The sequence below is a fragment of the Homo sapiens genome, chromosome 8 (genome assembly GCF_000001405.40).
Source record: "Homo sapiens chromosome 8, GRCh38.p14 Primary Assembly".
Classification (NCBI taxonomy): domain Eukaryota; kingdom Metazoa; phylum Chordata; class Mammalia; order Primates; family Hominidae; genus Homo; species Homo sapiens.
Genome location: NC_000008.11, coordinates 140,454,556 through 140,476,075, shown reverse-complemented (window position 1 = coordinate 140,476,075; position 21,520 = coordinate 140,454,556). Strand labels below are relative to the sequence as shown.

General features: G+C 48.2%; 1 protein-coding gene and 1 long non-coding RNA gene across 18 annotated transcripts in view, besides 8 other annotated features; one reads left to right on the top strand and one right to left on the bottom strand.

The window, feature by feature from the left end:
• Window positions 1-9,136: 9,136 nt before the first annotated feature.
• LOC105375782 (uncharacterized) lies at window positions 9,137-11,205 on the bottom strand. Of its 2 annotated transcripts, none has more exons than XR_928707.3 (2): window positions 11,026-11,205; window positions 9,137-10,291 (listed from the first exon to the last, which is right to left on the bottom strand). It is a non-coding gene; the product is annotated as an uncharacterized LOC105375782 (long non-coding RNA). The 2 variants fall into 2 exon arrangements; XR_001746120.2 differs by having other exon boundaries at window positions 10,775-11,042.
• Window positions 10,182-10,281: a silencer, noted in NCBI's record as "silent region_19579". NCBI's record gives its function as "represses an Ori minimal core promoter by ATAC-STARR-seq in GM12878 lymphoblastoid cells {active_cell/tissue: GM12878}" and the evidence as "EXISTENCE:reporter gene assay evidence [ECO:0000049][PMID:35858748]".
• Window positions 10,778-11,977: an enhancer, noted in NCBI's record as "BRD4-independent group 4 enhancer chr8:141474198-141475397 (GRCh37/hg19 assembly coordinates)". NCBI's record gives its function as "activates an origin of replication core promoter dependent on BRD2, P300/CBP, MED14 and CDK7 cofactors, and independent of BRD4, by STARR-seq in HCT116 cells {active_cell/tissue: HCT116}" and the evidence as "EXISTENCE:reporter gene assay evidence [ECO:0000049][PMID:35650434]".
• Window positions 17,478-17,787: a silencer, noted in NCBI's record as "silent region_19578". NCBI's record gives its function as "represses an Ori minimal core promoter by ATAC-STARR-seq in GM12878 lymphoblastoid cells {active_cell/tissue: GM12878}" and the evidence as "EXISTENCE:reporter gene assay evidence [ECO:0000049][PMID:35858748]".
• Window positions 17,478-18,147: a biological region, named in NCBI's record as "H3K27ac-H3K4me1 hESC enhancer GRCh37_chr8:141468097-141468615".
• The window catches only part of TRAPPC9 (trafficking protein particle complex subunit 9), a 730,855-nt gene continuing 726,831 nt past the window's right edge, over window positions 17,497-21,520 (top strand). For 10 of the 16 annotated variants that reach the window (NR_164662.1, NM_001321646.2, NM_001374684.1 and 7 more), the window contains exon 1: window positions 18,332-18,437. Coding sequence is in view for 5 of the 16 variants with exons in the window: in XM_011517326.3 (XP_011515628.1) it covers window positions 17,512-17,795 (284 nt within the window). In the remaining 11 variants the exon portion in view is untranslated. Of the gene's footprint in view, window positions 17,796-18,331; window positions 18,438-21,520 lie in introns of those variants that run through there. The other 6 variants (XM_011517326.3, NM_031466.8, XM_047422294.1 and 3 more) reach the window with 1 other exon arrangement.
• Window positions 17,560-18,078: an enhancer, noted in NCBI's record as "H3K27ac-H3K4me1 hESC enhancer chr8:141468097-141468615 (GRCh37/hg19 assembly coordinates)". NCBI's record gives its function as "activates a minimal SCP1, AML or CMV promoter by ChIP-STARR-seq in primed H9 embryonic stem cells {active_cell/tissue: H9 hESC(primed)}" and the evidence as "EXISTENCE:reporter gene assay evidence [ECO:0000049][PMID:30033119]".
• Window positions 17,908-18,147: a silencer, noted in NCBI's record as "silent region_19577". NCBI's record gives its function as "represses an Ori minimal core promoter by ATAC-STARR-seq in GM12878 lymphoblastoid cells {active_cell/tissue: GM12878}" and the evidence as "EXISTENCE:reporter gene assay evidence [ECO:0000049][PMID:35858748]".
• Window positions 18,238-18,627: a silencer, noted in NCBI's record as "silent region_19576". NCBI's record gives its function as "represses an Ori minimal core promoter by ATAC-STARR-seq in GM12878 lymphoblastoid cells {active_cell/tissue: GM12878}" and the evidence as "EXISTENCE:reporter gene assay evidence [ECO:0000049][PMID:35858748]".
• Window positions 18,738-18,787: a silencer, noted in NCBI's record as "silent region_19575". NCBI's record gives its function as "represses an Ori minimal core promoter by ATAC-STARR-seq in GM12878 lymphoblastoid cells {active_cell/tissue: GM12878}" and the evidence as "EXISTENCE:reporter gene assay evidence [ECO:0000049][PMID:35858748]".

The window sequence follows — 21,520 nt, the reverse complement described above, 5'->3', positions numbered from 1 at the left end:
CATCAGCATCTGTTGTTCTTGACTTTTTAATAATCGCCATTCTGACTGGCATGAGATGGTGTCTCATTGTGGTTTTTATTTGCATTTCTCTATGATCAGTGATGTTGAGCTTGTTTTTGGAACAAACTAGAGAACTCAGAAATATAACCACATATCTACAACCATCTGATCTTTGACAAACCTAACAAAAATAAGCAATGGGGAATGGATTTCCTATTTAATAAATGGTGCTGGGAGAACTGGCTAGCCATATGCAGAAAATTGAAACTGGACCCCTTCCTTACATCTTATACAAAAATTAACTCGAGATGGATTAAAGACTTAAATGTAAAACCCAAAACTATAAAAACCTTAGAAGAAAATCTAGGCAATACCATTCCAGACATACGCATAGGCAAAGATTTTATAATGAAATCACCAAAAGCAATTGCAACAAAAGCAAAAATTTGGCCGGGTACAGTGGCTCATGCCTGTAATCCCAGCACTTTGGGAGGCTGAGGTGGGTGGATCACGAGGTCAGGAGTTCGAGACCAGCCTGGCCAACATGGTGAAGCCCCATCTCTACTAAAAATACAAAAATTAGCCAGGCGTGGTGGCACACGCCTGTAATCCTAGCTACTCAGGAGGCTGAGGCAGAAGAATTGCTTGAACCTGGGAGGCAGAGATTGCAGTGAGCTGAGATCACACCACTGCACTCCAGCCTGGGGGACACAGCAAGACTCCGTCTCAGAAAAAAAAGAAAAAAAAAGCAAAACTTGACAAATGAGATCTAATTAAACTAAAGAGCTTCTGCACAGCAAAAGAAACTATCATCAGAGTGAACAGACAACCTACAGAATGGAAGAAAATTTTTGCAATCTATCCATCTGGCAAAGGTCTTATATCCAGAATCTACAAGGAACTTAAGCAAATTGACAAGAAAAAAACCAAACAACCCCATTAAAAAGTGGGCAAAGGACTTTTTACTTTAAAGGACTGTTCACTTTAAGTGAACAGACACTTAAAGATATACATGTGGCCAGCAGAAGTTTATTATCTTAACTTTCTGGAGGTCAAAGTCCTGAGATCAGAATGTCACCAGGGCTGCCTTCCTGGTGGATGCTGCAGAGGAGACGCCAGCTTCCTGTTCTTTCCAGCTTCCAGAGGGGCCTGCGTTCATTGCCTCCAGCCCCCTCCTCCATCTTATGTTATTTTAATTTAACTTTCTGAGATGGAGTCTTACTTTGTTGCCCAGGCTGGATTGCAGTGGCACACTCCCAGCTCACTGCAGCCTCTGCCTCCCAGGTTCGAGTGATTCTCCTGCGTCAGCCTCCCGAGTAGCTGGGATAACATGCATGCACCACCATACCCGGTTAATTTTTTTTTTTTTTTTGTAGAGACGGGTTTCACCATGTTCGCCAGGCTGGTCTTGAACTCCTGACCTCAAGTGATCCACCCGCCTCAGCCCCTCAAAGCGCTGGGATTTCAGGTGTCAGCCACCGCCTCCTCCATCTTAAAGCCAGCAGCATAGCATCCTCAGAGCTCCTTCTCTGACCCCGGCTTCTGTCATCTCATCCCCTTCTCTGACTCTTCTCTCCTGCCTCCATTTTCAAAGGACCTTTGTGATTACATTGGGCCCATGAGGATCCTCCAGGGTCATCTCTCATTGCAGCATCCCGAACTGAATCTCATCTGGATGGATGACAAAGTACTTATCCATGATCAAGGCGTCGGCAGGGCTGGTTTCTCCTGAGGCCTCACTCCTTGGCATGTAGACAGTCACCTTCTTCCTGTGTCTTCACATGGTTTTGGTCTTGCCACTGTGTATGCCTGTATCCTAATCTTTTTTTCTTTTTCAGAAACAGGGTCTTGCTCTGTCACCCAGGCTGGAGTGCATTGGCATGATCATAGCTCAATGCAGCCCTAAGCTCCAGGCTCAAGTGACCCTCCCACCTCAATCTCCCACATAGCTGGGATTATAGGCATGTGCCACCACACTTGGCTAATTATTTTTATTTTTATAGAGACAGCGTCTCTGTATGTTGCCCAGGCTGATCTCAAGCAATCCATTCACCTCAGCCTCCCAAAGGGCTGGGATTACAGGTGTGAGCCCTAGTCTGCTCCTTTCCTAATGACACCAGGCATATTTGCCTAGTGCCCACCCTAACAACCCCATCTTAATTAATCACCACTTTAAAGGCCATATCTCCAAACACAATAACATTCAGAGGGACTGGGGGTTAGGGCTTCAGCGTATGAATTTAGAGAGGACAGAATTCCGTTTATAACACATGGATGAGTCCTGTGAACACCCTTTGTTTTATTGTTTCCCTGAAAAGGCTGCAGGGCTCCCCGCAGTGGGGACTGTGTCCACCTGACTCACTGTTGGGTACCCAGCTGGGACCCAGGGCCTGACACGACTTTCCCAGGGACTGAGTGGACAAGCTAACCCCTGCACTCATCCTTTTTAGGAAATGGGAACTCTCTTTATCAGAATGGGCCTGCCCTGGCTGTGCTGATCTCTTGGGGAAGCTGACTGAGACGGATGCATTTCCAGGGGAACCAAGAAGGAGACCTATGGGGTCAGGTATCTGATTTTTTGCACCTTGGATGAGTTTTGTCTGTTCTTGTACTTTGCGTAAACAGACCCACATGGCATGAACTCCACGGTTTGCAGCTTTCTTTGCTCAGCTTCCCTTGGGGAGAGTCATCCATGCCATTGCGCGTATCAGTGGTTTATGTTTATTGCTTAGTAGTATTGTTCTGAGGATAAATACAATGTATATAGGAATATACAACAGTTTATTTATCAGTCTTCTCATTGACAGACAACTTGAGTTATGTCCAATTTTTGGCAATTTTATTTTTTAATTAATTATTTATTTATTTTGTTTATTTATTTATTTATTTTTGAGAAGGAGTCTTGCTGTGTCACCCAGGCCGGAGTGCAATGGTGCGATCTCAGCTCACTGCAACCTCTGTTTCCTGGGTTCAAGCCATTCTCCTGCCTCAGCCTCCCAGAGTGCTGGGACTACAGGCAGTTGCCACCACACCTGGCTAATTTTTTTTTTTTTTTTTTGAGACAGAGTGTCACTCTGTCGCCCAGGCTGGAGTGCAGTGGTGTGATCTTGGCTCACTGCAAGCTCCACCTCCCGGGTTCATGCCATTCTCCTGCCTCAGCCTCCCAAGTAGCTGGGACTACAGGCACCTGCCACCACGCCTGGCTAGTTTTCTGTATTTTTTAGTAGAGATGGGGTTTCACCCTGTTAGCCAGGATGGTCTCGATCTCCTGACCTCGTGATCCGCCTGCCTCGGCCTCCCAAAGTGCTGGGATTACAGGCCTGAGCCACCGCGCCTGGCAGCAATTTTAAATAAAGCTGCTGTCATCATTCTTGGACAAGTATTTTGGTGAACATATGGTTGTTTTGATTTATTTTGGATAAATACCTAGACACTGAATGGCTGGGGCAAAAAGTAAGCATATGTTTAATTTTATAAAAAATCGCCAGACCTTGTTCCAAAGTACTTGTACATCTTACATTCCCACCAGCAATGCATGAGAATTCCAGTGTCTCCCTAACACTTGGTGTCATGAGTCTTTGAATTTTAGCTTTTTTTTTTTTTTTTTTTTTTTGATAGGGTCTCACTCTGTTACCCAGGCTGGAGGAGTACAGTCACACAATCATAGCTCACTTGCAGCCTCGACCTCCCAAGCCAGAGAGCCTCCTACCTCAGCCTCCTGAGTAGCTGGAACTATGGGCATGCTTTATCACACCTGGCTAATTTGTTGATTTTTTGTAGAGACGGGGTCTCACCACACTGCTCAGGCTGGTCTGAAACTCCTGGGCTCAAGTGATTCTCCTGTCTTGGCCTCCCAGAGTGCTGGGATTACAGGTGTAAGCCACCCTGCCAGGCCTAATTTCAGCCATTCTGATCCATGTGTGCACATCTCAGCGGTGAGCCCAGTAGCTCATACACAACTTTTTGGGTTACCTCTCCCTAGCTCCTTTCTGTCCATTCTCTGTCTCCTCAACTGGGTGACACTGGTGGCCTTTGTTTGAGTTCCCGCCCTCTGTACCATGGATCAGATATAGACTCCAGGCAGAAAGCCCAGTGAGCACAAAGCTCCACTTGTTTATTTCTCATTTGTTTGTTTCTCAGGGAACAGTCCTGAGCTGCCTGTTGTCGAGTCTGAAAACAGTTCCCTTTTCTGCCCCCTACCCCCGGTTTTCTATTTGTTTACGGTGAAAACATGTCTAGATGCTACAATCCCCTCTATATTTGTTTTTCACTTTTTAAAAATTGGCTTTGGCCAGGCGCGGTGGCTCACGCCTGTAATCCCAGCACTTTGGGAGGCCAAGGTGGGCGGATCACCTGAGGTCAGGAGTTTGAGACCAGCCTGGCCAACATGGGGAAACCCCGTCTCTACTAAAAATACAAAAATACAAAAACATTAGCCAGGCATGGTGGCATATGCCTGCAATCCCAGCTACTTGGGAGGCTGAGGCAGAAGAGTCGCTTGAACCCAGGAGGCAGAGGCTGCAGTGAGCCGAGATTGTGCCACTGCATTCCAGCCTGGGCGACAGAGCAAGATTCTTTTTTTTTTTTTTTTTTTTTGAGACGGAGTCTCGCTCTGTCGCCCAGGCTGGAGTGCAGTGGCGCGATCTCGGCTCACTGCAAGCTCCACCTCCCAGGTTCACGCCATTCTCCTGCCTCAGCCTCCCGAGTAGCTGGGACTACAGGTGCCCGCCACCACGCCCGGCTAATTTTTTGTATTTTTAGTAGAGACGGGGTTTCACCATGTTAGCCAGGATGGTCTCAATCTCCTGACCTCGTGATTCGCCTGCCTCGGCCTCCCAAAGTGTTGGGAATACAGGCGTGAGCCACCACACCCAGCGCAAGATTCTGTCTCAAAAAAAAAAAAAAGTTTGAGAGCAAGTGAAAAAAAAAGGTTTGAGAGCAAGTAAATGAGGATGGGACGGAAGAGTGACATCCAGAAAACAAGTAGTTTAGCAAGGCTGAACCATGGTATGAGGTTGGGAACTGCAGCCAGTGAGGATGGACTGGTAGGCAGGAAGCGCTTTGTTTTGAACAGGTTTATTGAGATAGAAGACACCTGTTAGAAAATTCACCCATTTAGAGTATGATTCATTGGCTTTTAGTATGTTCAGAGTGTTGCATCCCACCATCAGGAAGCCTTATAAGGTCCTATTGAGGTTTGCCTTCCTGGGGCCCCTGAACTGGCTTATGGGGATATGTGGGTGCATAAAGACTGATGGCAAAGCTGGAGCAGGGTGGGTCCAGGCAGAAAAGAGGAAAGGCAGTACTCTTTGTCCCGAGCTAGGCAGAGCTGGAGCAGGTTTCCTGTGGATTGTGAGGGATGGGGAGGAGGCCCCTCAAGTCCACTCCCCACCACAGGCCACAACTCCTATGTATTTTTTTTTGAGACAGAGTCTCGCTCTGTTGCTCAGGCTGGAGTGTAGTGGCATGATCTCAACCCACTGCAGCCTCTGCCTCCTGAGTTCAAGCAATTCCCCTGCCTCAGCCTCCTGAGTAGCTGGGGTTACAGTTGCCCGCCACCACGCTTGGCTAATTTTTGTGTTTAGTAGAGACAGGGTTTCACCATGTTGGCTAGGCTGGTCTTGAACTCCTGACCTAAGGTGATCCACCCGCCTCGGCCTCCCAAAGAGCTGGGATTACAGGCATGGGCCACCGCACCAGGTCAGGACTGTGTCTTAATAGTCAAAGCAAAGGGGACCATAAAGCACCAGGAATGTGGGGCTGGACCGACTGAGGCTCTCAGAAGCTTCTCATTTGCCAGGCACCCCAGAGCTTCCTTGGGGAGTGCTCTGAGAGGAACACTTCTAAAGAGGATCTCAGTTTTCTTAGTTGAGAGTGGTACTTTTTGAAGTGGGAGGGAGAAGGCCTGCAGCTTATTGACAGGAATGGGAAACAATGCCTCAGCCGGGCACGGTGGCTCATGCCTGTAATCCCAGCACTTTGGGAGGCCAAGGTGGGTGGATCATCTGAGGTCAGGAGTTCGAGATCAGCCTGGGTAACATAGTAAAACCCTGTCTCTACTAAAAATACAAAAAATTAGCCTGACGTGGTGGCAGGCGCCTATAATCCCAGCTACTTGGGAGGCCAAGGCAGGAGGATCACTTGAACCCGGGAGGCAGAGGTTGCAGTGAGCCAAGATAGCGCCATTGCACTCCAGCCTAGGCAACAAGAGCGAAACTCCATCTCAAAAAAACAACACAAAACAAAAAACCTCAGAGATCAGCGGAGGCAGAATTGAACCAGGCAACTTGTGTGGAACGAATTCTCGTAGCTGCTGGATGGTGATGTGGATGAAAGGAGGATGAGAGGAACCGGTCTGTGTGCACAGGCTGTGCTTCCCTCTCCCAGCCCGTGGGGAGTAGCTGCTTTCCAGACCCGGCTGTGCTTTGGAAAACACACATCTCAAGGCCACGCCCCCAGTGTTTTCATTCAGTAGTTCTGAGTCAGGCCAGGAAAATCATGGGGTATTTTTAACGGCTTGGACTTTCTCTGGAATCCTCTTTTTAATAATTTCTGAAACGACTTCAAACTTAAGTCGCAAGTACAGTACAAATAACTCATTTTCTTGAATTGGTTTAGAGTAAGTAGCTGAGGGATACCCCAGCGCCCCTGGAGAGCTGACTGTGTCTTTTCCACAAACAAGGATATTCTGCATAACCACAACACAGCCCTCAAGGTCAGGACAGTAACATCCATACGTGGCTGCCACAGGATCCTCAGGCTCTATTCAAGTTTCACCAGTTGTTCCAATTATATATAATATAAACATATAATATAAGGCAGCCACTTATATTTGTTCTATTAGCATATCTATGTTATATATATATATATATATATATATATATTTTTTTTTTTTTTTTTTTTTTTTTGAGACAGAGTCTCACTCACTCTGTTGCCCAGGCTGAAGTGCAGTGGTGAAATCTCAGCTCACTGCAACCTCTGCCTCCCGGGTTCAAGTGATTCTCCTGCCTCAGTCTCCCAAGTAGCTGGGATTATAGGCACCTGCCACAATGCCCGGCTAATTTTTTTTTTTTGTATTTTTAGTACAGATGGGGTTTTGCCATGTTGGCCAGGCTGGTCTTGAACTCCTGACCTAAGGTGATCCACCTGCCTCTGCCTCCCAAAGTTCTAGGATTACAGGCAAGAACCACCACACCTGGCCACAATAGTATATTTTTGTAGCAAAATGATCCAGTTCAGAATCACGCATAATACTTAGTTGTCACGTCTCTTTAGTCTTCTTTAACCTGGAAAGGTTTCTCAGGCTTTCCTTGATTTTCATGACCTCAGTGCTTTTGAAGGTCACAGGCTAGTGGTCGTGCAGAATGTCCCCATTTTGGTTTGTCTGTGGTTTCATCAAGATTAGACGCAGGGCATGCGTCCTTGGCGGGAACACCACAGGCATGTTGCTGGGCTCTCCTAGTTCCATCCTGTCAGGATATTTCCAGCCACTTATATTTGTCCTATTCGCACTGATGTTCAGTTTGATCTGAATCCTCTTTACCTGGTTCAGAAAAAGAAGGAAAGGGGCTGGGCATGGTGACTCCTGCCTATGATCCCAGTACTTTGGGAGGCTGAGGCCAGAGGATTGCTTGAGCCCAGGAGTTTGAGACTAGCCTGGGCAACATGGCAAAACCCTGTCTCTACCAAACAAAAATTAGCCGTGCCACGTGATGGCATGTGCTTGTAGTCCCAGCTACTTGATGTGATGAGGTTGGAGGATTGCCTGAACTTGGGAGTTGAGGCTGCAGTGAGCTGAGATTGCACCACTGCCCTCCGGGTGACAGATCAAGATTCTATCTAAAAAAAAAAAAAAAAAAAAAAAGAAGAAGAAGAAGAAATTGCAAAGGTATGGGTAATTGTGATTTTAAAAACTCCCAAACCCTCCATTTGATTTGTGTTCTTTGAAAAAATTTGCATAATCCCTGTAGCCTCAGTCTTTCCTTTAAAACTTTTGCTTTAACTCTGTTGTATTTAGGACATACAAAAGGTATAAAGAGGCCAGGCATAGTGACTTACGCCTGTAATCCCAACACTTTGGGAAGCAGGGGCGGGTGGATCACCTGAGGTCAGGAGTTCGAGACCAGCCTGACCAACATGGTGAAAATCCATCTCTACTAAAAAACAAAATACAAAAATTAGCCGGGTGTGGTGGCAGATGCCTGTAATCCCAGCTACTTGGGAGACTGAGGCAGGAGAATCCCTTGAACCATGGGGTCAGGGGTTGCAGTGAGCCGAGATCGTACAAAAACCAAAAGGTATAAAACCACGCATCAAAACCAAAAGGTATAAAGAATAAGGCAACTTGAATTATAATACAATAACTTGATATGTAATATACAACATATATTTCCAGTTGGATTACTAGATATTGTCTGTAACATATAAAATATATAATACAATATGATGTAATATATAATAACTTGAATTCTTAAGTAACCCAGTTCGAGAATAAGCCACTGCCAATTTAGTTAAATCTCGCTTGTGAATTCCCCCCCAGCTTCAGCCTACTCTCGATTTGCCCAGAACTCACTGACCTAAGCTCCACTGACAAAGTGACAGAAAAAATCCTGGGTTTCAGAAGCAATTTGAGGCAATTAGATGCAAATTCAGCCCAGATGAGGACGTTTGTTTTTCTAGTGTGGCTACCTAGCTTGTTCCGGCACCTGGTGGTCACACATGGAACTGCAGCTTCTCATACGTGATCCTTTTCGAATTTTTTTCCTTTCGAATCCTTTCTTTTCTTGAACTTTATTTTGTAACGTAAAATCTGATTTGCTTAAGTTGGACTTATCATAATTTTCTTTTAAAAGCTTTCTGGTTCTAACAGTGACTGCCCTGCATCGGTGAAAACACTTGGTTAAGCATTAACTGCTCAATTATCACAATTAATCTTTTGATATAATTTCTTGGTGTGTATGTGTGTTTGTGTACATAATTTTCCATTATTAATTCAAAAATGAATTGCTAATATATACTAGGTACTGAGGCAGATGCTGGTACAAAGTAAGAATAATCAGGATGGCTAATTAAAGTAATGCTTCTAATTATACCCCATGAAACAAGAAACTTCATTTATCTACAAAGGAAGGAAACCTGTCAGTAAATACTATTTATTGATCACCTATTATGTATCAGGTAACATGTTCCTTCCCAGAATATGTCACAGAGCACGTGCACTGTTTGAAATGTATTAAATGGTAAATGACAGTCATTAGTAGGCTGCTTTTGATGATCATTCTTGAGGCGTCTTTGGATGTTAAATTCATTGATGAAAGTTTGATGAACAGTCTACTTTGTTATCTCAAAGTATCATACAAATTACTTATTAATTACAGAGAAAAAAATAGGAACTTTACAGTGGAGAAGCTTGGCACCCTTCACCTTAACCAAGCAACCAATGTTACCATTACAAACAATGGGACAAACCCACATCATTTGCCTCCTGATATAATGCACCAAGGATGCCGCACCAAGGATGCCATCACTTCTGAGGTATTTTTGCAAAACATACATAACCTGAATCTAATCATGAGAAAGCATCATACAAACTCAAATTGAGGAACATTCTACAAAGTAGCTGGCCTGTATTCTTCCAACATATTAGAGTTGCTAACCTAAAAAAGACATCAGAGAAAGATGTCTCCTAATATAATTAATTTATTCAGGAGCAGGCAAAAAGGATGGTGCACCTGGCTATATGGCTATGGCAAGCCACAGGTGCACCTGAATAGGGCAGGGGTAAGTGGGAGCTCTTATTGGCCAAAAGTAGAAGTTCACATAAGCTGTCTGGAAACAGGTTTCTTTGGTTCTGGAGGCTCAAAGCCGGAGCGGCATCAATTTATTTTTGGAGATGCCGCTACTAGGCAAGTGTTCTTTGGAGAGCATCTTATTTGAATTGCTGTCGTCCGAAAGAATGCCTAGTGCTAAGCCTGGTCACAGAAATAACAGGGTGGCGCATGCCTGGAGTCCCAGCTACTCTAGAGGCTGAGGCAGGAGGACCGATTGAGCCCAGGAATTTGAGTCCGGTCTGGGCAGCACAGCAAGATCCCTGCCTCTAAATCAATAAATGTGTGCACATGTGCAAAACGTAGGTGGAGAAACGCATGAGACTTGTGACGTACATGAGGAATTCCTTGTGTGGTTATTATAGAAAGTCCTTGAGACAGTTCTTATCTCAAACATCAGCCGTCCTTTGTGCATTCCTGGCTTGGTGTGCTTGGGTCTGAGTAGAGTTGTCTCATCCTGGTAGCTGCAAGTTTCACAAAGACATGAAAGAGGAAGAAAGACTGAGACCCTGTTCTAGATAAAAGGATACTAAAAAAAGATTTGACAACTAATTGAAACAGTATGATTCTGGACAGAGGGGAAATAGCTATAAAGGACATAATTGGCACAGAGAGAGAGAGGAAGAATGTGAAAATGAGGCAAAAATGTAAAAATTGGTGATTATGGATAAAGGATATAATCACGATTCTTATTACAATGCGTGTCAATTTTGTGAATTTAAAAGTATACATATAAAGTACATATATAGTAATACATATAAATATAAACACCCCAAAAAGTGTTCCCGAAAGTAACAAGCTCTTTGAGAATAACTGATCTCTTTAAAAATGATTTATGTTTCATTATAAAATCAATGTATGTATGCTTAAAGAAAAAAAATGAGACAATATAGAAAAGTAAAAAGAAAACTCATCAGTCTCTGACACATGTCACAGCCCACAGCTACCTGGGAAGGCTGAAGAGTGCAATTTCAGCAGAATGTCAGGGGAGGAGCAGGATTGTACTAGGTGGAGAATATTCTAGACTGAAGGAACACCACAGAAAAGACAAGAAAGCGTGGAAGGGCGTGGCTTGAGGAAAAAGGTCGGGAAACTGGGGGTTGAAGAATGAACAGGTGAGATGGGTAAGGACTTCCAGAGAAGAATGACTACTGGGCTGGGGGGGGGTGACATCTGGGCCAGTCACAATTCTCCTCACGTGTCGCCTTCCACAATGCCAGGCACGCGCCTGGGGTTGAATACATATTTCTGGGCTGAATAACCGAATGTACAAAAGGCAGGCCCTAAATTTCCTCTCCGCCCCTTAGCGTGCCCCGCAGCGACATCGTCACAAGCGCGCGGCTTTTGGTCCCCGCCCTGGGCCTCAGGGCCTCGGGGCCGCGCGCGGGGCGTGGTCAGCCGGAGCTGTGACGCACCCGGGACGCAAGCCGAGGGCTCGGTTTCCACGGCAACAGGCGCTGGGCCCCTGTTTTTCCGCTCGCGCTCGTGCGTCACTTCCGGTCGCTCCCCTCTTTTTTTCAGCCTTGTGTAGGATAGGTTCCGATTGGGACCAACGTCGGGGTGGGAGTGGTACTGGGGAAGGGCTGTCCAAAATGAATCTTCGGTTCTGCGTGAAGAGCCGGGTGTCAGGCAGGTGGAGCTTGGCTTCCGTCCCCTAAGCCAATCGCTTTCCAATCCGTCCCCTAGGCGCTGCGGGAAATTGATGCCTCAGCTACCGGCGCTGGAGCATGCGCACTGCTACCGGAGGCGCCTCTGGGAAATCCAGTGCTCCGGGATTTCCACGCAGCCGGAGGGAATCCAGAGGGGCGAGTGATGGGCGTGGCATCAGGGGGCAGGGCGTACGAGTCACAGTGTTGATTGGCCGGTGAGAGGCCCGGGCGTGGAGCGGCAGCGGACCCCTGTGGCGGGCTCTGGCGTTTCATTCATTCGTTCATTCATTGAATGAACTGATTCACTCCATGTTTACTGAGTATACGCTGTGTCAGAGCTTGTGTAGGCGCTGGGGATTCAGAGCCGAGTCGGACACAGCCCCTGTCCTTAAGGAGCCCACGCTTCGACTGAAACCGCGGCGTCCCTGCCTTTCTTCGTTTGCACCTTATCTCCTCTCTTCTCTCAAGGCTGGTGTCCTTGCAGAAGGCGGCGACGCTCAGCCCATCTTACCTCAGGGACCCTCTCCGAGGCTTCCACACTTCTGAAAGCAGCTGTTGAACACGGAAAGGCCTGGCGTGGAATCCTGGCTAGCGCTCAATCACTGAGCCGCTTCACCCACTTTACATTCACCTCTGAAAGCATGATGCAGGCGTCCCCAACTTAGGGTGGCTCGACTTAGGGGATTTTTCAACTTTGCGATGGGCTTATCGGGAAGCAACCCATCATAAATCGAGGAGCATCTGTATAGTTATCTTGCAGAGGGCAGTGAGGTTTAAAATGAGCTTTGGTGCTTATCTTGAGGTTGAGTCCGAGTTTCTTCCTTACACGATTATTGTGAGGATATGAGATATTTATGCCAAGCACATTGCACATTGCCTGCCAGATAAGAGTTTCATAAATGAGGCCGGGCACGGTGGCTCACGCCTGTAATCCCAGCACTTTGGGAGGCCGAGACGGGCGGATCACTTGGGCTCAGGAGTTCCAGACTAGCCTGGGCAACGTAGGGAAACCCTGCCTCTACAAAAAAATTTACAAAAATTAGCCGGGCATGATGGGAGGCTGAAGTGGGACGTTGGCTTGAGCCCAGGAGGAAGAGGATCCACAGTGAGCCAAGATCGCACCACTGCGCTTCAGCCTGGGCCACAGAGCAAGACCCTGTCTCAAAAAAAAAAAAAAAAGATAAAAAAAAGTTTTGTAAATGGTAGTTACCATCGTGTTATTTTGAAGGAAGAGTTATGAAGGTCTAACCAAGTAGCTGGTTCTTAGTTGTGCTAAATAAGTATAGTTATTTTTTCCCTCCATAGCCTGTGAGCTAGAAAGCCCAGGTGAGACATGACACTATGGAGTCCTATAACACGGGAAGGAGAAGAAACTCTTTATGGTACTGGTGGGGGATCAAAACCCTTGAGAGGTGCTGGCTTTTGTGCAAAGTGGAGTGATTGGATCACCCAACCGGAACACCGTTAGCCAGGACATAAGCTGGAATTGTACCAGGAAAGTAAAGCTATATGGTCACCTTACCCTGAGGCTGTACAAGTAGCATGTGACAGAATTTGTCCATTCTGTCTCAAATTGCCTTCTCACACTTTCTTTAATCCTAATGATAGCCCTATGAAATGATTATCCTTATATAATAACTGAAAATATGGAAGGCAAGTAATTAGGGAGTGATGGAGCAGGGACTCTGTCCTAAACTTTTTTTTTTTTTTTTTGAGATAGGGTCTCACACTGTTGCCCAGGCTGGAGTCTAGCCTGCACTTTTTTTTTTTTTTTTTGAGACGGAGTCTTGCTCTTGTTGCCCAGGCTGGAGTGCAGTGGCACGATCTCTGCTCACTGTAGCCTCTGCCTCCCAGGTTCAAGTGATTCTCCTGCCTCAGCCTCCCGAGTAGCTGGGATTACAGGCGCCCACCACCACGCCCGGCTAATTTTTGTATTATTATTATTATTTTTAGTAGAGACGGGGTTTTGCCATGTTGGCCAGGGTGGTGTCAAACTCCTGACCTCGTGATCCACCTGCCTCGGCCTCCCAAAGTGCTGGGATTACAGGTATGAGCCACCGTACCTGTCCCAGCCTGTACTTTTAACTCACAGCTGTGATAATTGTCAACCTCAGCAAGCCTTGTGGGGCATTAGTCCCATATATAGATTATATATATATTATATGTGTGTGTGTGTATGTGTGTGTGTATATATATTTAGACAGAGTTTCACTCTTTGCTCTGTCTCCCAGGCTGGAGTGCAGTGGCACGATCGAGCTGACTATAGCCTTGACTTTCTGAGCTCAAGCAATCCTCTCACCTCAGCATCCCAAGTAGCTGGGACTACAGGTGTGCACAATCGTGCCGGCTATTTTTTAAATTTTGTGTGGAGATGGGGTCTAGCTATGTTGCTTGGGCTCATCTCTAGCTCCTGGGATCAAACAATCCTCCCTCCTTGGCCTCTCAAAATGCTGGGATTACAGACATGAGATACCGAGGCCAGCTTGGTCCTATTTCTTGAGACCCCTTGACTGGATGTTTCAGGGAAGCATATTCTGGCTGAGTTTACTGGATAATTTTCTTGTAGAGCTTGTTATGAACTGAATGTTCATGTTCTTCCCAAATTCATATGTTTAAATTTATTCCCCAATATGATCATATATGGATGTGGGGCCTTTGGGAGGTAATTAGGTCATAAGGGCAGAACCCCCATGAATGGGATTAGTGCGCTTCTAAGAAGAGACCAGGCTGGACACGGTGGCTCATGCCTGTAATCCCAGCACTTTGGGAGGCTGAGGCAGGTGGATCACCTGAGGTCAGGAGTTCGAGACCAGCCTGGCCAACATGGTGAAACTGTGCCTCTACTTAAAATACAAAATTAGGCCGGGTGCGGTGGCTCATGCCTGTAATCCCAGCACTTCGGGAGGCTGAGGCAGGCGAATCACCTGAGGTCGGGAGTTTGAGAGCAGCCTGACCAACATGGAGAAACCCTGTCTCTACTAAAAAATACAAAAAATTAGCTGGGTGTGGAGGTGCATGCCTGTAATCCCAAGTACTCAGGAGGCTGAGGCAGGAGAATCGCTTGAACCCAGGAGGTGGAGGTTGTGGTGAGCTGAGATTGCGCCACTGCACTCCAGCCTGGGCAACAAGAGTGAGACTCTATCTTAAAAAAAAAAAAAAAAAAGAGACCAGACAGCTAGTTTGCTCTCTATCTGTCATGTGAAAATACAAGAAGCCAGCCATCTGCCATTCAGAAGATGACCTTCATCACACCCTACCCATGCTGGCGCCCTGATCTCAGTGTTGTTCTAGTAATTTCTTATATCTGCCCAAACCAACTAAGACAAATAGCCACATCATCAAAGCATTCTGCCTGTTAGGACTTTTGTAGAGGGGAGAGAGTGTGAGTATGAGGTTGGACCTGGTTATTTTAGAAATTCCTTCCAACCTTAGATGTCTGTAAATTCCTTGAGGGCAGGTTTTGTATGTTTGAATTGTCACCCTTCAGAGGAGATGCTTAGGAAATGTTAAAGATGCTAAAGGAGCACAGCCCCAGGACCTAGACAGTACGGGGACTGCTTTGGATGTTCTCATTTGATCATTGTGGGCTGGGCTGTGGCAGGCTCTTACACTCTCTGAGCCTCCGTTTTCTCATTGGTAAAAATGCAGAGTAATAATACCAGCACTTTGGGAGGCCGAGGTGGGAGGATCATGAGGTCAGGAGTTCGAGACCAGCCTGACCAACACGGTGAAACCCCGTCTCTACTAAAAATACAAAAATTAGCCGAGTGTGGTGGCGCGCACCTGTAATCTCAGCTACTCAGGAGGCTGAGGCAGGAGAATCGCGTGAACCCGGGAGGTGGAGGTTGCAGTGAGCTGAGATCGTGCCACTATACTCCAGCCTGGGTGACAGAGTGAGACTCTGTCTCAAAAAAGTAAATAAATAAATTTAAAAAAAAGCAGAATAATAGTCCCCGCTCTCCTTCCCCCACAGATTTGCTGAGACAGCAACATAAATTGATTGAAGTGTGTACATTGCAAATAAGCAATGTTTCCTTTTGCCAGCTTTCAATCTTGCTTTCCAAGTTGCTTGCCTTATCCACTTACAGACAGAATAAGAAAAGACCTATGCAAAAAGTAGAGTCTGTGGGGTCTGACAGCCCTGGATTTGAATCCCTAAATAGCACCAGCCATTTGTGTGACCCCAGCCAAGTAGGGTATCCTTTCTGGACTTCAGCACTAAAAATAGCTCCCTTGCTTGGATCTTATGAGGTAAGCTTGGAGCCTAGTTTCTGCACTCAGACCTCCATTAGCAGTGGCCTTTTAAATGTATCTTTTCTGTATTCTCTGTTAAGCCCATACGCTCTTTTGTTTATTTATTCATTTAAAAAAAATAAAAAAAACCACTTTTTTTTTGAGACAGGGTCTTGCTGTCTCTCCCAGGCTAGAGTGATCATGGTTTACTGCAGCCTCGACCTGGCTGGACTCAAGCGATCCTCTTGCCTCAGTCTCCTGAGTAGCTGTGGCTACAGGTTTGTGCCATCCTGCCCAGCTAATTTTGGTATTTTTTCCAAGAGACAGAGTTTCCCTGTGTTGCCCAGGCTGGTCTTAAACTCCTGGGCTCAAGCAATCCGTCTGCTTCGGCCTCCCAAAGTGCTGGGATTACAGCTGTGAGCCACTGCACGGCCTCCATGCGGTCGTAACACCATGAGGTAGCCACGTTGGGCAGCTTGTGCGTTGTCAGGGAGACACTCTTCCTCAGCCCCTGGGCACCTCTGTTGAAAACTTCCTGGCTGTCTGGCAGGCTGGAAATCAGCTCTATTTGTTTTGCCCTGAAGATATGTTTTATTTATAACTCATTCTGACTCTGTAGAAAATAATTCAATAAAAACTCAATTGGTTTTCCACTAGCCCTGAGCAGGGATGAGGGATAGTATCTTATTTTATAACACATGTGATAATAAAACAGCCCTGGTCACATAGCCCAGAGCGGGTAAGTGCCTGCTGGCTGAAAGGAAAAATGCTGGCTCAGACCATTTCTCCCTTGCTGCTGTATGTGCTGAGAAAACCACTCCTGTCCTCTTTACTTTTCCATTTTAGGATTTTTTTTTTTTTTTTTTTTGAGATGGGCTCTCTCTGTCACCCAGGCTGGAGTGCAGTGGTGTGATCTTGGTTTACTGCAGCCCCCGCCTCCCGGGTTCAAGAGATTCTCCTGCCTCAGACTGCCTAGTAGCTGGGATTACAGGCATGTACCACCACGCTCAACTAATTTTTGTATTTTTAGTGGAGACTGGAGTTTCACCATGTTGCCCAGGATGATCTTGAACTCCTGACCTCAGGTGATCCACCCGCCTTGGCTTCCCGAAGTGCTGAGATTACAGGTGTGAGCCACCACACCCAGCCCTTTTTAGTGTTTGTTGTTGTTGTTGTTTGAGATAGAGTTTTGCAGTTGTTGCCCAGGCTGGAGTGCAATCGCATGATCTCGGCTCACTGAAACCTCTGTCTTCCAGGTTCAAGCGATTCTCCTGCCTCAGCCTGCTGAGTAGCTGGGATTACAGGCGCGCGCCACCACATCTGGCTAATTTTGTATTTTTAGTAGAGACGGGGTTTCACCATGTTGGCCAGGCTGGTCTTGAACTCCTAACCTCAAGTGATCCACCCGCCTCAGTCTCCCAAAGTGTTGGGATTACAGGTGTGAGCCATTTCTCCTGGCCAGGATTTTTTAATTGAAAAAGAAATACATGTACATGTTAAAAGATTCAAACAGAACATTAAACATACATAACGGAGAGCGGCTCTCTGTTTTCAATTTTCCCTGCGGATGCCACTGTTAATTCATGTGCTGGGCATCTTAAGTCTGTAAGCCTCCCCCATCTCCTGCTTTATTTTATTTTATTTTTGAACCCAGAGGGGTTTAAATCCTTAAATGGCTTCTGCCCGCACTTAGCAAGCTTGGCGCCTTGGCACTGAACTAACGACAGCTGTCCTAGCCCCTGTCGCCTCTTTGGAACCTTTTATGTGGATGGATTGTTGGGGCCCTCAAAGTCGGGAGTGCCATGGTGCCAGCTGGGGATCAAGACCGCGCGCCACACAGGGGGAAGCCGGCCCAGGCTGGGGCTCGCACCTCACGTGCCTCCCGGGCCCTGCGATCCTGGAGGCGCTCCCAGGCCGCGCGCGCCACGGTCACCCACCCACGTGGGGGGCACGACCGTGGGAGTCACGGGGGGTACCGTGAGGGTCACAGGGGGTGCCGCAGGGATCCACAGTGGGCTTCCGCGGGGCCTCCACCCCTGAGCTTCACAGAGGAAGTGAAATTTGAGCTGCGCGCCCTGAAGGACTGGTAAGCGGCGGGGACAGAACTGGGCCTCCTTCCAGCTGCGCCGCCCCAGGTGCAGAAGCTTTCCTCCTAGTCTCTGTTCTCTTGCTCCGGTCCCTCCCTCCCTCCTCGCTCCATCTCCCTCCATCTCCCTCCTTCCCTCCTCCTCTTCCTCCCTCCTTTCACCCCTCCTTTTTCCCTCCCTCCTCCCTCCTCCACCCTCTCCCTGTCCCCCGCTTCTCTCTCTCGCTGCCCCTCCCTCCTTCTTTCACCCCTCCTCCTCCTACTCTCCTCCTCCTCCCTCCCCGTCCCCGCTTCTCTCCCTCGCTCCTCCTCCCTCCTTCTTTCACCCCACCTTTTTCTCTCCCTCCTCCCTCCTCCTCCTCCCTCCCCATGTCCCCTCCCTCCCTGTCCCCTCTTCTCTCCCTCGCTCCTCCTTCCTCTTTTCTCCCTCGCTCCTACCCCCTTGCTTCCCTCGCGTCTCTTGCAAAACCCGGGACGGATCGGGGGCCCAGGCCTGGCCTCCGCGCACGCGCAGGAGCAGCGCCGGCTCGGCCGCCAGTAGGAAGCGCCAGCCCAGAGCCTGGGAAGTGGCCGCAGAGGCTGCTCGGCCCCGCTGCCCGCCAGGTCGTGGGCTCCCGCTCCGGGCCCGGGGCCACCGGCTGTGTAAGTGCAAAGCGGGGGGGCTCCCGGTCAGGCAATTCGGACCGGCTGCGGGGAGGGCTGCGCGGCTGGCCGTGGAGTCGGCGCGTCCCGCGGAGGGGCTCGCCCGGCCCTCACCTGTCCGGGCGGAGCCCGCCACACCTGTCCGGGTCCGCTGCCGGGCCGGGGTTCAGCGTGCACCTGCTCGAGGCGCCCTTGCTCCTGTTGGCGCTCTGCTTACATCTGTCCAAGGCCGTGTCCCACACCCGCTGAAGACTCGGCGGACACCTGTCCGGGACCCGGCCCACACCTGCTGCCCGGGCCGGCTCTGCTCTCCCGAGCTCGCGGCGGGGGTCCCCTTCCCCTCTGTGCCTCCGAGCTGTCTCCGCCTGGCTTCCCCTCCCGGGCCGTCCGCGGCGCTGGAGCCCCCCGCCCCTGGGCCTGGCTAAGCCCACTGGAGCCCGCGGGGTCTGGGACGCGCGGCTGGGGCCTGGGGCCCAGCACAGCCCACGCCCCCGGCGCTTTCCCCGCCCTGAGTTCCCGGACTTCTCCCCTAGCCCTTTCCCTCCTGTCTCCTGGATTCAAAGTGCCTGCGATCTAGCTGGGCGGCATCAGGCGGTGCTCTCTGGGATAAGCGCGCTGTCAACTCCAACTTATCCCAGGGAACCCTGGGGAGAGGAAGTCAGGCTACTGGCCTGTGGTCTTCTCCCTGTCAGCCCACCCCAATCCCCTCCACCCCTGCAGACCTTCCCAACGTGAATGTCTGTTAACCGAAAGTTTTCCCGTGTTAGGATGCGTTGTCTGTCTTCAAATGTTTCTATAGAGAGAGGAATTAAAACGCTGGAAGCAAGGCCCAGTTGAAAGGTATGGGGGAGTGACTTCCCTTCCATCCCTCACGGCCCCAGTTTAAACTGGTGACTGTCCCGTGTTTCTAAGGTAGTCATAGCTACCTATGACATCTTTATTTGTTAACCTGAAACAAAGCACCGGGTGGATGATGTTGGAGGCCCAGGAACATTGCCGTCCTAAAGATCTGGCTAGGTTTTGTTGTGTGTGTTTGTTCGTTTTTTTAATTGTGTGGAGGACTAGTAGTGTAGAGGGAAAAACAGTTGTCCGGAAACATGTAAACAATAAATGTTTCAGAAATCTAGTGTGTCAAAAATAACAGCTTCATTGAGCCTCGATTACCTGCCATAAAATCCACTGCTTTAAAGTGTACAATTCAGTGATTTTTCTTTTTTTTTTTTTTTTGAGACGGAGTCTCGCACTGTCGCCTGGGCTGGAGTGCAATGGCACGATCTTGGCTCACTGCACCCTCCGCCTCCTGGGTTCAAGCGATTCTCCTGCCTCAGCCTCCTGAGTAGCTGGGATTACAGGTGCCTGCCACCATGCCCGGCTACATTTTTTTTGTATTTTTAGTAGAGACGGGGTTTCACTCTGTTGGCCAGGCTGCTCTCGAACTCCTGACCTCGTGATCCACCCGCCTTGGCCTCCCAAAGTACTGGGATTACAGGCGTGAGCCACCATGCCTGGCCAATTCAGTAATTTTTAGTATATTCACACTTGTGTTACCATTGTCATTCCAGAACATTTTCATCACCCCAGAAAGAAACTCCATACCCATTAGCAGTCACTCCTCATTCCCCCCTCCGACAGCCCCTGGCGGCCACCGGTTTACTTTCGATATATATAGATTTGCATATTCAGGGCATTTCCTATTAATGGAATCATACAACATGTGGCCTTTTGTATTTAGCTTCTTTCATTCAGCACAGTGCTCTAAAGTTATTCATGTTGTGGCTTACATCAGCACTTTGTTCCTTTCTGTGGCTGAATAATATTCCATTGTATAGATTTAACATTTTGTGTATCAGGCAGTTGATGGACATTTGTGTTGTTTTCACTCCTTAGCTATTAAGAATAATGCTGTGCCTGGCCAGGCATGGTGGCTCACGCCTGTAATCCCAGCACTTTGGGAGGCCGAGGCGGGCAGATCACGAGGTCAAGAGATCGAGACCATCCCGGCCAACATGGTGAAACCCCCTCTCTACTAAAAATACAAAAATTAGCTGGGCATGGTGGTGGGCGCCTGTAGTCCCAGCTACTTGGGAGGCTGAGGCAGTAGAATCCCTTGAACCTGGGAGGCGGAGTTTGCAGTGAGCCGAGATCGCGCCACTGCTTTCCAGCCTGGCGACAGAGTGAGACTCCATCTCAAAACAACAAACAAACAAAAAACAAGAATAATGTTGTGCCTGTAATCCCAGCACTTTGGGAGGCTGAGGCGGGTGGATCACCTGAGATCATGAGTTCGAGACCAGCCTGGACAACATGGCAAAACCCTATCTCCACGGAAAATACAAAAATTAGCCGAGCATGGTGGCTCACGCCTGTAGTCCCAGCTACCCGGGAGGCCGAGGCATGAGAATCGCTTGAACCTGGGAGGCAGAGGTTGAGGTGAGCTGAAATCCTGCCACTGTACTCCAGCCTGGGTGACAGAGCGAAACTCCATCTCAGAAAAAGAGGAATAATACTGCTATGTACATTCCTGTACATGTTTCTGGTGTGGACACATGTTTTCAGATCTCTTGGATTGCTGGTTTTATAGTAGCTCTATGGAGGAACTACCAAGTTGAAGATACATATTTTTGCTGTTTTAATACCTGTATTAGCTTAGTCTCAGATACCAGAACTGGCTCAGTGGCAGGTGTCTTTTTTTTTTTTTTTTTAAAGAGTCTTACTTTGTCACCCAGGCTGGAGTGCAGTGGTGTGATCTCAGTTCACTGTAACCTCCTCCTCCCTGGGTTCAAGCGATTCCCGTGCCTCAGCCTCCCAAGTAGCTGGAATTATAGGTGCATGCCACCAAGCCTGGCTAATTTTTGTATTTTTAGTAGAGAAAGGGTTTTGCCATGTTGGCCAGGCTGGTCTCGAACTCCTGACCTCAGGCGATCCACTCGACTTGGCCTCCCAAAGTGTTGAGATCACAGGTGTGAGGTCAGGTTGTGTTTTTTTTTTTTTTTTTTTTGAGAGGGAGTCTTACTCTTATTGCCCAGGCTGGAGTGCAGTGGCGTGATCTCGGCTCACTGCAACCCCCATCTCCTGGGTTCAAG